The sequence below is a fragment of the Homo sapiens genome, chromosome 5, assembly GCF_000001405.40.
Source record: "Homo sapiens chromosome 5, GRCh38.p14 Primary Assembly".
NCBI classification, from domain to species: Eukaryota; Metazoa; Chordata; class Mammalia; order Primates; family Hominidae; genus Homo; species Homo sapiens.
The window spans coordinates 80,965,344-80,980,720 of NC_000005.10; the positions used below are offsets into that span (position 1 = coordinate 80,965,344).

Below are 15,377 nucleotides of genomic sequence, written 5' to 3' on the forward strand. Positions count from 1 at the left end.
TTTGCTAAATCTTATACAATGTTAAAAAATATAATTTAGGGAACAAAATAATTTATTACTTAAACTTTGTAATTATCCTTCTCTTTAAAGTTAAATGAAAAAAAAATCTCATGGATTAGCAAAATTGAGTTATTTTAATTTTGGCTACACTAAGCCTTACTATTTAGATTGTTGTGTAAGAATTCAACACAGAAAAGTCCATCCCTGATGTGACAGATGTATTAATACATAAAAATGCATTATTGTTGTGAACAACTATTTTTCTGTGGGTTTCATTAAGTGACAACTAAGCGCATTGTCGAGGGGTAGAAAATACTTGTAGTGTTATAACAATTTTTCCCTTCTTTTGACAATTAAAAAATAGAGAAATTTTTCTCCCACTGGATGATGACAAGACCTAAAGCATGTGTGATAACCAAATGTTTCTGGTTTTAGCAAGCAAATGTCAGTGGTTCATTAAAACAATTGCTGATATTGCTGTCTGTTTAATGCAGATTATATTTTTAAATGGATTTTTTTCTGCAGTTTTCAATACTACTTAAATATGCATGCCACAGTCAGTATAATTTTAATTTTTTGGAATGAAATTACTTAGTCTTTATGATTATTTTGTAATGAAATAAGTCAGATTGACCAACCATATGGATTTGCTCAAGTCTTAAATTCTACTTTTCACAGGTTTAAAGTGGCTTTCTATTTTTATACCTATTTATTTGTTCTACAAGAAAGGGATATATGTTTGTGTGTGTGTGTGTGTGTGTGTGTATGTGTGTGTGTGGTGTTTATTCAGTTTGTTACCCTTCTACTATTTTCTACCGTTGAATATTAAACCTTTGTTAGGCGGTTATATATTGGAGTTTGCAGATTTTGATTTGTACATTAACATTTCAAGACCTGAGTTATAAATCCCATCTATCTATAATTTGGGGAGCTTTATTTTTCAGGACTAAGGATATGGAATGATTCTGTTAAATTACTCACAATATAAATTCCTCTCTGAAATTAGTTTACCTTAAACAAAGACTGTAAATAGTAAAATTTTATTGATATTTAAATGAAACTAGAAATGATATTTGTTAAATATCAACATAGCACTGTGATAAATGTTTGATTATTTTATAACATTTGGCCTTTATTCTAAAATCTAACCATTATTCTAAAATTATCCATTACATTTTTATTGGTGCAACTTTTAAATTTTAGCTGATTGAGAAGTTATAAATACATGAATTTGGTTCCGCCAAAGGGAATATGTTAGCATTTTTGCCCAAGGAGTTAAAAATGTAATTGTGTATATATTTAGAAAAAAACAGTAGCAGGTTTGTTGTTGTTGTTGTTGTTGCAGAAAATATTGGCATCAGTAGGTGGAACAGAGATGCAAAAAGCACATGGACTCACAGTTTTATTTTTTTACTGGCACTTGAAAAACTAATGATTTAATGAAAAATAAGGATTCAAATCATTTTTCCTAAAACTTATTACAGTGACTACAAAATGCTTCAAATATACTTTTAGGGAGAAAGCAGGAAAAAAATAACAAGTTTGAGTTGGTCTGTGTTTATTTAACTAATATACTACAGTGTTTCTTTTCTTTGTTAAAAAACTGTAAAGCAAGAAATGAGACAGAAAGTTGGGGAGGCCTATATAAGAATAATTTACAGCTTTAGATTAAATAAGTTAATCAGAATTTTAATTCTCATAAGATCTGAGAAGATAAAGATAAAATGATGTAAAAAAAGCAATCCTTAAAAATAAAATTTGTTGGCCGGGTGTAGTGGCTCACGCCTATAATCCCAGCACTTTGGGAGGTCGAGGCAGGTGGATCACCTGAGGTCAGGAGTTAGAGACCAGCCTGACCAACATGGCGAAACCCTGTCTGTACTAAAAATACAAAATTAGCCAGGCGTGGTGGAGCATGCCTGTAATCCCAGCTACTCAGGAGGCTGAGGCAGGAGAATCACTTGAACCTGGGAGGTGGAGGTTGCAGTTAGTCGAGATCACGCCATTACACTCCAGCCTGGGCAAAATAAATAAATAAACACATAACATCTCTTGGTAAAGAAATAAATAAAAATAAAATAAAATTTATTGATCCTTTAGTGCTTAATTAAAAAAAAATTCAGGTCACAATATCTGTTTTTAGCTCTTATGATACTTACCAGTATGACATTGTGAAGACCTGTGGTGATGGAAACAGCAGGGATATGAGTGGTACTTTTTATTATTTTCAGGGTACTGAAGTGTTTCATTTTGTCATTGTCTGATTTAATTTAGACATGCCTGATTCATTTCCTGGACTGTATTTATAAGCCCATGCCATTTGTGTGACTAATGTAAACAGTGGGGTCAGTTCTTTCAAATAGAGGGACTGTTGAAAAGCTAGGAGGTTTCCTGCATTTAGCAATGTGGAAATAGGGAGGTGATAACTTGGTCTAAGGCTCAGTAGATAACATTATAACTGATCACAAAAGAAGTCATGACGAGATAATGTCAGTGATTCATAGGAATAGGAGGCCACTCATATTAATATGAATTTGCTTTCTTTTAAGAATGTAAGAATATCAGTTTCTAGGTGAAGTGCTGGTGTTGTGTATGGTTCAGTTCAGGATTTAAACTGCATAGGATTCAGTCTTGGCTCTGCTACTTACCAGACACATGATCTTGAGCAATTTCTCTTTCTAAGCCTGGCTCCCTGCCTGGAATATGGAGATCCGGATAGTACCTGCTCCATCAGGTTGTTGTGAGGCTCACAGGCCAAGCTCTTGGCATAGGCCTGGCACATGGTGAATGGTCAGCACATTTGCCAGCTAGCATTTTTATTACTCTCTTTGATATTCCTCTTTTTATTTTCATTATTAGGATGACTTAGAAAGTATTTTCCTTTCCTTTCCCTTTCAAAAATACTTTAACACACACAAAATAGAATATTTCAGGGAATGCCAACCTACTCATCCTCCAGCTTCAACATCTTCATCTTTCTGCCATTCTTGTTTTATCTGTCTCCATGTGTACATTTTTTTTTTTGTTAGACCACTTTAAAGCAAGTTCCAGACATTGTATTATTTCACTTGTAAATAAGGAACTTTTTTCCTTTTTGGCATAGCACTTTTTTGGCACTGGAGATTGCACTGGATATAGCTCTGAAAAGGACTATCTTGGAAAGAGTTCATAATGAGTTTCTGTTAATAATGTGTGCTATTATAAAGGTAGCCCTCTTTTTTGTTTCTTTCATGTTATAATAAAGGAAAAAACTTAAGACAATAGTTGTGAAGACATAAAGGAGATGGAATTGGCTTTTAAATAAGTCCTAGTATGTTAAATCTTAAAGGGAAGGAAGTTTGAATCAATTTTAAAAATTGAGACGGAGTCTTGCTCTGTCACCTGGGCTGGAGTGAAGTGGCGCAGTCATAGCTTACTGAAGCCTTGAACTCCTGAGCTCTAGCGATCCTCCTTCCTCAGCCTCCCAAGTAGTTGGGACTACAAATGTGTGCCACCACACCCAGCTAATTATTTATTTTTTTTTGGAGATGGGGTCTCCCTGTGTTGCCCAGGCTCGTCTTGAACTCCTGGCCTCAAGCAATTCTCCTACCTTGGCCTCCCAAAGTGCTGAGATTACCAGCATGAGCCACTCTCCCTGGCCAAAATGAATTGCATAACCATGATCATGGTGTAAAGTGTTTTCATGATTTGATCCCACTCTAAGGGGCAATTAAATCATTGGTGATCCTCTTACTGAGATCTTCTTTCCATTTACCCAGCTCCTCCAGCTGTGCAGGACTCTTTTTTTTTTTTTTTTTTTTTTTTTAAGTTGGAGTCTCGCTCTGTCACCCAGGCTGGAGTGCAGTGGCGCCATCTCAGCTCACGGCAATCTCTGCCTCCCAGGTTCAAGTGATTCTCCTGTGTAAGCCTCCTGAGTACCTGGGATTACAGGTGTGCACCACCACACCCGGCTAACTTTTGCATTCTTTTTTTAGTAGAGACAGGGTTTCACCATGTTGGTCAGGCTGGTCTCGAACTCCTGACCTTGTGATCTGCCCCCCTTGGCCTCCCAAAGTGTTGGGTTTACAGGCGTGAGCCACCACGACTGGCCAGCACTCTTTTTTCTTTTTTCTTTTTTTTTTTTGAGACAGAGTCTCACTCTGTCACCCACGCTGGAGTGCAGTGGCGCGATCTTGGCTCACTGCAAGCTCCGCCTCCAGGGTTCACACCATTCTCCTGCCTCAGCCTCCCAAGTAGCTGGGACTACAGGCACCCGCCACCACGCCCGGCTAATTTTTTTTTGTATTTTTAGTAGAGACGGGGTTTCACCGTGTTAGCCAGGATGATCTCGATCTCCTGACCTCGTGATCCGCCCGTCTCGGCCTCCCAAAGTGCTGGGATTACAGGCGTGAGCCACTGCGCCTGGCTAAGCACTCTTATTTAGAATCAAGGATAAGAGTTTCCTACACAGATGCCAATAATACTTCTTCTTCTTTTTTTTTTTTTTTTTTTTTTTTTTTTGAGACAGAGTTTTGCTCTTGTTGCCCAGGCTGGAGTGCAATGGTGCGATCTTGGCTCACTGCAACCTCCGCGACCTGGGTTCAAGCGATTCTCCTGCCTCAGCCTCTCGAGTAGCTGGGATTACAGGCATGCACCACCACCCCGACTAATTTTGTATTTTTAGTAGAGACAGGATTTCTCCATGTTGGTCAGGCTGGTCTTGAACTCCTAACCTCAGGTGATCTGCCCGCCTTGGCCTCCCAAAGTGCTGGGATTACAGGCATGAGCCACCGCGCCCTTTGCACAGTTTTTCAACAGTGAGAATGTCATCCATGAGCTAATGTCTCATCCAACTTTCACAATCAATTCTGAGACCCAACAGCTGGTCAATATTATTTTAGGGCAGTTACTAAGGCTTCATTAATCAAGTGTGTAGTTGGCTTTTTCTAGTATTGTTAAACTTTTATCTAGGGTTAGTTGGTTTCTGTCCTATGACTGATTGTTTTAGGCCCTTTTGATTGCAAGGGAGAGGTATGAACTAGAGTTGTCTTGAATAATGATCACCTCTGAGTGTTGAGGGGAACAGTGGGAATATTACAAGACAATATACAGGTGAGTAGTGCTCTTTATGGGGACTTAGCTCTTCTTTGGATATTGCTGCTGGCCAACCTTTCAGTGTGTTTATCCCCGTTTGCCTTCTCACTGAGTCTTTCCTCATAGGTTTTTTTCCCCTAACTTCAGGTTGTCATAACCCTCATGATACTAACTCAGTGTTGTGGTCCCTTTTCTCCTGCTTCAGTTTTCACTGCAGCATCTCTCATATCCAGGGTCATATTCTTGTGAGATAGAATCTGATTGTCTCAGTTCAAATTTGGGGGCCAGACAAAATCATCAGTCTCTGACCAGCCCGTGGCTTAACTGCGAAACAGCAGGGGCTATGGACGAGGGTGTTTCACAGAACGTTTAATGAGCATGATAGTAATTATTAACACATCTAGTGCATTCATCAAGCTAGTTAAGATTACTTTTACCAAACCAATGTTCATTCACTGTGATAGGCCACATTCTCTTCCTTCAGTAGCAGTTTTACATCCTCACCTTATCAACAAGATCTTACAATAATACACCATTTCTGTCCTCTGGTCCTGCGCTGTCACCTGTACCGCCCAGAGTCCATGTTCAAAATTTTTCTTTACTTTTTTATATTTTAAAAATTATTTACAATTGTTCTTGTAACAATAAATTAAAAATAAACCTATTTTTCAAAATGTAGCGTACATCAGAAAAGTACACACATCATAGGTGTGCAACTTGATGAGTTTTCACAAAGTGAATATTTTTGTAATCAGCACCCATATCAAGACATTGACACGATCAGCCCTCCAGAGCTAACCTCATGCCTATTCCTCTCCACCACCCCAACCGTGGGTAGCCACCATCCTTAATTTGTGACACCATAGAATGCTTTTGCCAGTTTTTGAACTTCCTATTCACAGACTCATGAAGTAAGTACTCTTTCATGTTGGATTTCTCTTCCTCAACATCATATTTGTGAGATTCATCCACGTTGTTGTTTGTTCCTTTTCATTTCTTTCTTTCTCTCTTTTTTGAGACAGGGTCTTGCTGGAGTGCAATAATGTGATCATGGCTCACTGCAGCCTCGACACCTCCTCAGGCTTAAGTGATCCTCCCACCTCAGCCTCCTGACTAGCTGGGACTACAGGCACATGCCACCACACCTGGTATTTTTTTTTTTTTTTTGAGATAGTTTCTTACTCTGTCATCCAGGCTGGAATGCAGTGGCATGATCATGGCTCACTGCAGCCTTGACGTCCTGGGCTCAAGTGATTCTCCCATCTCAGCCCCCCAAGTAGCTGGGACTATAGGCATGCACCACCATGCCTGGCTAATTTTTTTTTTGTATTTTTTTAGAGACAGGCTTTCGCCATATTGCCCAGGCTGGTCTCAACCGCCTGGGCTCAAGCAATCTGCTCCCCCTTGGCCTCCCAAAGTGCTGGGATTACAGGCATGAGCCACCGCACTCCACCCCAGCTAATTTTTATTTTATTTTATTTTATTTTTTATTTTTTTATTTTTTAGAGACAGTGTCTCCTTATGTTACCAAAGCTGGCAAACTGTTGGGCTTAAGTGATCCTCCCACCTTGGCCTCCCAAAGTGCTGGGATTACAGGCATGAGCCACTGTGCCTGGCCCCTTTTCATTTATAGGTAGTATTCCTCTGAATGAGTATACAAAGATTTCTTTATTCTGCATTTGGGCTGGTTCCAATTTGGAGCTGTTATAAATAATCCTGCTTTGAAAAGTCTTGTACAAGCCTTTTGGTGTACATACATGTGCATATTTCTGTTGGGTATATATACTCAGGAATGGAGTTGTTTCAAAGGGCATGCATATATTCAGCTTCAATAATTTTTGCTAAATAGTTTTCCAAGATAGTTCTATCAATTTATACTTCCACCAGCAATGTTTAAGAATTCCAGTTACTTTCCAACCTTGCCAACCCTTGGTCTTATCAGGATTTTAGTTGTAAGCATTCTAATAGGTGTGTAGTAACATGTCATTTTGATTTGGATTTTCATTTCTCTGATAAAAATGAGGTTGAGCACCTTTTCAAGTACTTATCAATCATTTGATTGGTCTCTGTTTTTTTCTTCTGAGCCAGAGTCTTGCTCTGTCACCCAGGCTGGAGTGCAGTGGTATGAGCTCAGCTCACTGCAGTCTTTGCCTCCTGGGTTCAAGCAGTTCTCCCACCTCAGCCTTCCGAGTAGCTGGGATTATAGGTGTGTGCCACCACACCCAGCTAATTTTTATGTTTTTAGTAAAGACAGGGTTTCATCATGTTGGCCAGGCTGGTCTTGAACTCCTGACTTCAAGTGATCCGCCCACCTCGGCCTCCCAAAGTGCTGGGATTACAGGCGTGAGCCACCGCACCAGCCTGTTCTCTGTTTCGAAGTGCTTGTTCAACCTTTACCCATCTTTTATTGAATTGTCTAATTGATTTGTAGGACTTAGAAATATTAAGTTAAACTATATGACCTACCATTTCTGTACATCAAAAATGGTTAAATATCATAATTTCATATTGTTTATCCTAATATATATGATGAGTCCTTTGTCAGTTATATGTATTGCAAGTATTTTCTCCTGCTGTGGTTTGCCTTTCTACTCTCTTAACGGTGTCTTTAATGAACAGAAGTTCTAAACTTTATGTAGTATAAGTTATCTCTTTTTCTTTATGGCATTTATCTGTCCATGAAATGAATGGAGATGAGGACAACATCTGAAGTTGTTTTATGTAGAAAGTGCAGGAACTGGGCCTCTCCCCTGCTGCTCTGATAGATCAAATTGTGGTTAAATCAAGCAGACAGATCACAGAAGACCCAACCATAGGTGGAATAGAATGTGCTTACAGTAGGTTGCGGTTGCCACCCCAGGATGTCTTCCTTTTAGAGGAAGTCTCCAAGGACAATTCTGAAAGACAAAAGTCATGATGTTCTTCCCTCCCTCATCCTCCTGTGATCTGAGGTCTTCCCTCCTCGGGTGCTGGGTTGTTGCTCTTCCTGCGCCTCCACGTATTCTGGGTATCTCATTCCAGTAGCACTAACTTCATGTTTTCCCAATAATTCCTTAGTCACACCTAGATGTTTTGTCTGGAAGGGACAAGGGCACTTAATAAAACTTATGCAGAATTAAGTTTGAATCCTGGAGGTCCCTTTAAGCTTTGCTGCTACTTGGAGGGCGAGCCAACCAGGCTGGCCTGGGGGTGCTATGAGGGAAAGAAAAATGCATCATGGGCAGCAATGGTCAGGACGGTATCCTGAATTTTCAAAACAGGTCTCTATGATACTCCATAATCACCTCGCTCCCATTTTGTCCTGACCATTATCCAGGAAGTGGCCAAGAAGTGATGATCCCTTTTTGGGGATAGTACATTCAATGATCAAAGTACCTTACTAAAGTGTATGGACCAGGAGGAGATGAGGGAGAGAGGGAGCTGGACAGCCAGTTCATTGTTGAGTATATAGATTCGTTCAAGAGCTACAATGGTGTGGCTGGAAACAGCTGACCAGTAATAATCCGAAAAGGTATCAACAGTGGTAAGGCAGCATTGATAGCCCTGAGAGGGGTTTGAAGGCCTGATGTAGCCAATCTGCCAGGAGCAGTAGTGGGTAATGCTCCTTGCAATATGACCTTTCTCATTGCAAGACTAATGGGTCAGCTTTTGGCAGGAGTCACAAGTCTGTCATTCATTGGTAGCCTCTGCATCAGAAACAGCCAGACTTGATGAATGGTGGGTTCCATCAGAAAACCAGTCCTTATTTGAGAGTATCTATGCAATTGTTCCAGACAGTTCGATCAGCAGCCATGATTTGTTTCCAGATTCACATCCACAAAGAAGGGTATCTTTAATCTGCCAGTCTGTAGTTTTCCAAGTGGTAGCACAAACAGCTATGCTGTTGGCAACAACCGAAAAGTCAGTTCTACCCCCGAATGAAGCAAGAACATCTGTCTGCAAGAACATCTATCTGCTTTTGCTTCAGCACAGCTGACACTGAAGCTGAGTAGCTACAGCGCCCTAGTGAACACCACTGGGTTTCAGCTTAGCCAAACCATCGGTGAACTAGGCCCAGGCATTTAGGAAATCTGTGCCAGGGCCTCATTGAGCCAGTGTCTTTGGTTCAGATATTAGAGTTGGGGATAAATTTTCCCCCAGAGGGACACTAGCTACTTTTTTAATAATGTAAAGCTAAGATACAGCTGAGGCCGCCAGACCAGCTCTATTCTTCAGTATGCCATTTCCATTCGACAAGCAAGGAGGTGTCCCTTCCCACCTTGTGAGTTCTTGATCTGACTTCATCTATCTTCAGATGGGAATTTAGGCCGGAGAGTCACAAAGTCTTTATGAATCGGTTTTGACAAAGACTCTGTGGCAGCAAACTAATAGTTGCCTGTATGCCTTGTAATTTTGATGAATGCTGGACATTGGGTGTGAAAAATCGTAGTGGTAATTTGAGGCCCTGTTATTTTTTTTTCAGAGAGGATTTACTTTTGCTTTCTTGCAGGCATTAGTGTGGGGGCACATTCTATTAATCCATTTTGGGATTGAGCTGGTCAGCTAGGTTTCAGGTTTTCTGAGAGCTTGTCTACTTCCAGTTTGCCCTAATTTCTAAAGTATAGCCTTCCCAGAGTCTTCTCTGGAATTTTGGGATATTTACACAACTCTTCCTCTTTTGGCTCCTCAGTCCCATGAGATTGTCAGGAACTCAGTGCTGGTCTCCTGCCTTTTAGCTGCTGCTTTCTGCTTGGTTTCTTAGCCTCCTGGCTCTGCACGCCAATAAAGTGGCAAACGCCTCTTTATCGAAAAGCTTCCCTGAGTGTCAGACTCACTGCCAGTGAACCTCCCTCCTCTCAGGCATCCTTGCTGCTCATGTCTTGGCTGTCTTGTTTGCTTAATGATGAGTTCAAACAGATTTTTTTTTTTCTTTTTGGCATTGTGTCCAGCTTTGAAAATTCTTCTTAGTGCGTGTGTCGTTGAGGGGTGGGTCTGCAACAAGCTACTTGGCCATTACTACTTAGCCAGGAGTTTTAATCTTGAGTTTAAAAGCATATGAAACTCTTTTTAAAACAGTGGAAAAGTTAACCCCCTTATTTTCTGGAAACTTACCTGTTAATTACTTCTAGCTCAATAATGATAAGCTAGTAATTAGTCAAATTACAACTAATCCTTATTTTATCAATTTAATTCTGAACATTGCTGAACATTGTACATTTGAACAAAAGAAAAGAAAAATATCATTTTGTAGTCATAAGACATTTTACAGCTATTTATCCTTATTTACTAATGAGTGGTGAGGTATATATTTTGAGGGTACCAAGCTGTGAGTCCCATTTATTCCTTACATAGTGGGTTTAGTTTAAACTTGGCTTTTAGGTATTTTCTCATACCTGATATCTGTCTGTTGATCTATTGTATATTTTAGTTGATGAACATTTAATTTAAAGCAATCATCTTTTTTTTTTTTTTTTTGAGACGGAGTTTTGTTCTCATTGCCCAGGCTGGAGTGCAATGGCACGATCTCCAACCTCCGCCTCCCAGGTTCAAGCGATTCTCCTGCCTCAGCTTTCTGAGTAGCTGGGATTACAGGCATGTGCCACCACACCCGACTAATTTTGTATTTTTAGTAGAGATGGGGTTTCTCCATGTTGGTCAGGCTGGTCTCAAACTCCTGACCTCAGGTGATCCACCCGCCTTGGCCTCCCAAAGTGCTGGGATTACAGGTGTAACCACCACGCCCGGCTAAAGCAATCATCTTTCTGTAGGCCTGTAGTATACTAACTTGTTAATTTTTATGAACATTGTTTTGTGTTATACGACTGTAAGAGCCACTCTTTGTTTAATGCTAATTTGGGGTTAACACTGAGGCATGCACTTTCCATATATTATCCCATTTAATCCTCACAACCACCTTGAGATATCAGTATCTTGTTTTGCAGGAGGCTTAGAACGGTTTAGTAATTCACTTGGGGCAAACCTTTACGAAATGGCAAACCTGGTTAATAGAACCAAAATTAATAACAGCATTTGGTGAGCATGGCCCTTAGCTAGGAGCTGGAAGTATATAACTAGGAAGGAAATGTTTTTGTCTTCAGTCTCATTCTCCTCCATCGGAACTAGTATACATAACCTCTATAATCTCTATGTGCTGGGTTCTGTGCTGAGGGCCTGAGAACTTAGACATGATAGAAAGTCGGGTGTTGGGGAACAGCAGTCTGTGTCTGAAGAACCCACTGTCTTCCTCCTGAACCTCTTGACTTGCAGCTCAGGCTTCCTTCTTGGTGTCTGCCCAGCTCCACAAGGTGCCTGGCACTGAGGATGTAGAAAACACAGCTCTTTGCCGTTTCAGACCTTGCCTATGGTACAGCTCTTGACTCCGTGAGGACATTTCTTACATTTTAAGGTGGGTCCACATCCTCTGTGCCTTGATTTATGCTACCACTTTCTGGCCACTAGAAAGTTCTAAGTTTCAATCTCCCCAGGCCCAGAGCAGTGAATACCATGTTGCCACACATTGGCAAACTGCAACCTGTGCCATTCACTGTGTGCGTAATTAAATGAGAAGGGGTCCTTAGATGTACATGGTCTTTCTGTTTTGGTCCATAGCGTCCTCTTGTATTTGTTTTGTTGGCAAGGTTCACCTATTTGGAATTGTGACATCAAATGGCTGAATAGTAGCATCCTGTGATTGTAGAGCCCCAACTGTCGTTTCCTCCCATGAACATGAGTATAGAAATTTATTTTCAGCATGGTGGTTTGAGCAGAGTCCATCCTCCTTCCTGTTTACCTGGCCTGTCCTTTGTTATAGCACGGAAGGAGCCATGGCATTCCATTTGGATGAATGGTACCAAACGTCCAGTATATTGAGGCCAAATTCCCAAGTTCAAGTTCTAGATCCATCTTTGACAAACTCTGGATCCTCAAGCTTACTCATGTCTTCATCTGGAAAATAGGCATGATAATTTCTACCTAATAAAGAAAGTGGAATATTAAATTAACTGAGATAATCTTATGTGAAAGGTGTTTGTAAACTATAAAATGCTACCAAAATTTTATTTATTTATTTATTTATTTATTTATTGAGATGGAATTTTGCTCTTGTCCCCCAGGCTGGAGTGCAATGACACAATCTCAGCTCACTGCGACCTCCATCTCCTGGGTTCAAGCGATTCTCCAGCCTCTAGAGTAGCTGGGATTACAGGAACCCACCACCACACCCGGCTAATTTTTCTATTTTTAGTAGAGATGGGGTTTCGCCGTGTTGGTGAGGCTGGTCTCGAACTACTGACCTCAGGTGATCCGCCTGCTTCGGCCTCCCAAAGTGCTGGGATTATAGGCGTAAGCCACTGCACCTGGCCCAAAATGTTATTTTAAATTCTTCACAATTACATTTTTTCATTTAAGTGAGGGCAATTTAAAGAGCAAATCATTTGAAAGTTTGGATGCTACAGATGTGTATTCTGTTCATTTTATGGTCCATTTTGAGAACCAGATAGCTTATCAGCCTAGTTTGTAAGCATGTTTATGAGTCTGGGGTTTTTAAGCTCTTCAGAGAATGTTTAGTGGATGGTAAATTCCTTAAGAAATAGTTGGGTGATTACTTTTACTAACTGCAGGAAACTATTCCCTTAGAGGATAGGTGAGTGAAAGAGTTTCTTTGTCATGTGATTTCTTTCTGGTACGTAAATCCTTCTGACTGTGATAATTATATTAAATATATTAAAGTAAAAATAATAGGGTTTTCTTCAGAGGAAATACATAGCTAAATTGATATTTATGCTTTAAAAATGCAGTTTTTTAAAAAGAGAGTGTCTAAAATGTATACTAAAAGGAAAATAATGCAAGTCCACAGCTTACTCTTTTTTCTTCCTTTTAGTATAAAGTACCGTGTTAATAGAACATTTTTAAAAAGCAGTTTTTTATTTATAAAAGTAATGTCTATCATGTAAAATTTGGAAATCACAGAGAACTATATGAGAAAACTAAAATATTCTGAAATCCCATTCTTACCAGAAAACTATGTATTCAATTGTTGGAGAATTTTCTTCAAGGACTTTTTTCTATGTCTGTATATAATAAATAGACATTTTAAAGGGGGACAAGGCCAGGCACAGTGGCTCATGCCTATAATCAATTCCTGCACTTTGGGAGGCTGAGGTGGGCAGATCACCTGAGGTCAGGTGTTCGTGACCAGCCTGGCCAACATAGTGAAACCCTGTTTCTACTGAAAATATAAAAATTAGCTGGGCGCGATGGCGGGTGCCTGTAATCCCAGCTACTCAGGAGGCTGAGGTGGGAGAATCACGTGAACCCAGGAGGCGGAGGCTGCAGTGAGCCAAGATCGTGCCATTGCACTCCAGCCTGGGTGACAAGAGTGAAACTCCATCTCAAAAAAAGAAAAAAAAAGGGGGGGAAACAAAACTGGGATCATATTGTATATAGACTTTAGGATTCTGATACTTTACTGAATATTACATTGTGAACATTTTGCTTGCCAGTAATTATTTTTTGAAAACATTATTTTTAAGGACTGTACAGCATTCTATCACACAGATGTACAATAAACATTCCCCTACTGTTGGATATTTAGCCTGTTTTAATATTGAAAAGCTTTGTTTTGCTATTGTGATTCTGTAGTGAACATCAGGATGGCATTTGTGAATAAATTTGCAGGGTCGGTGGAGCACATGCAAAGAAATGAAGAAACAAAAAAGTGGGAAGTGAGAGTCTCCTTTTAGCTACTATGATTAGGGTAGTTCCCAATTTCTCCACCTTACTCAAGAACTATTTTATTTAATAAACACTCTACTTGCATTTCAAGGTAGCTTTGTAACTAATTGAAAAAATTCAACATAAGATGTAAATTTCTGGAATGAAAGTACAATCTGTGAATTAAAATATAGAAATGAAAGACCAAATATAGTAGTCTAATTTCTTGAAATAAAACTAAGTTTAAGTGCATTTTGGTGATATTGGGGGTGATATTCATTGTAATTAAAGTGCCTAGGGTTGTTATTAATGAGCTCCATATGAAGGCACAAAGTAGGAATGCCTCAAATTACCCTATTTAATTGGTTCTAAGAATACCTTCATTTTAATATTTTGCATTTTCTGAAATTAAGTTGTGTTTTCAATTATTGTGTACGTATGATTGATGTACTAATTATTTCCCTAAAATCTTCACTAACTTATGTTGCACTTTACAACACCATCTTAGAAACAAAGGAATGTGGCAGTTTCCAGATGAGAGATACTTGGCATTTATTTGTGTTTCAAAGATCTTTGCTGCATGTGTATTTGGAACAGCATACAGGTACTGTATAAAGGATGTCTATATTGCATCCTGTACTGTAAGCTTTGGCCTTTTATAATAATTAAATTTAAGGCTAGAGAATATCATGGCTATGTGAGAAAGAGGAAAATTTGGTGCTTGGCGTTTGAGGAGTATGCTCTGAAAACCTGCTTGGAAAGATGGCCGATGTTAGTACCAGCTAACCTTTACCCTGGTTGATTTTTATCTTTTTTTGTAACCCCATAGGACCACAAGATCTTTGCTCACTAAAAATCAAGATGCTGTTGCTGATTCTTTATACAGCTACAGCATTACCTACTCATTTGGCAGTGGGTTTTCATTTTTTCATATTCTTCCATTTGGCTTAGAGAATGGCTTATTTGACAGTTTGGTAATTTTAGCCCATCGTTAAATCTGATTTGTTACCTTTGTGATTTGAAAAAACCAAAACAAAACCATTCAGCACTCATGGATAAGGAAACTCATTCTTTCCTACTTTACTTTACTGTTGGTAAGGGCTGTCTTGCCTCCTCGGACTGACTGTTATCCTTTGCACCAAGAACATTGTGTCCCCAGGGCCCACCAGCCCTTCTCCATCATGGCTTTCCATGTGGCTTTTGGAAATGAGGGTGATTTTGGCCCCAGACAGTACTCTTGAAAGAATACTGGCTGGGTGCAGTGGTTCATGCCTGTAATCCCAGCATTTTGGGAGGCTGAGGTGGGTGGATCACTTGAGGTCAGGAGTTTGAGGCCAGCCTGGCCAACACGGTGAAACCCCATTGCTACTAAAAGAATATGAAAATTAGCCAGGCATGGTGGTGCACGCCTATAATCCCAGCTACTCGGGAGGCTGAAGCAAGAGAATAGCTTGAATCCAGGAAGCAAAGGTTGCAGTGAACCGAGATCGTGCCACTGCACTCTAGCCTGGGCGACTGAGCCAGACTCCATCTCAAAAAATAAAGAGAAAGAAAAAGAAAAAAGAGGATACCACTGATTTCTTAGTCCCCTCTCCCTTACCATTTTAAAACTT

The 15,377-nt window shown here is 39.8% G+C and overlaps 1 protein-coding gene across 4 annotated transcripts in view; it reads left to right on the top strand.

The window, feature by feature from the left end:
- Positions 1–15,377, top strand: part of RASGRF2 (Ras protein specific guanine nucleotide releasing factor 2) — a 269,800-nt gene that overhangs the window by 4,981 nt on the left and 249,442 nt on the right. Inside the window, exon 1 of one of the 4 annotated variants that reach the window (XM_047417464.1) lies at positions 10,776–11,458. The exons of the other annotated variants lie outside the window; for them this stretch is intronic. The gene's annotated coding sequence lies outside the window, so the exon portion shown is untranslated. Of the gene's footprint in view, positions 1–10,775; positions 11,459–15,377 lie in introns of those variants that run through there. 4 annotated transcript variants of the gene reach the window in all.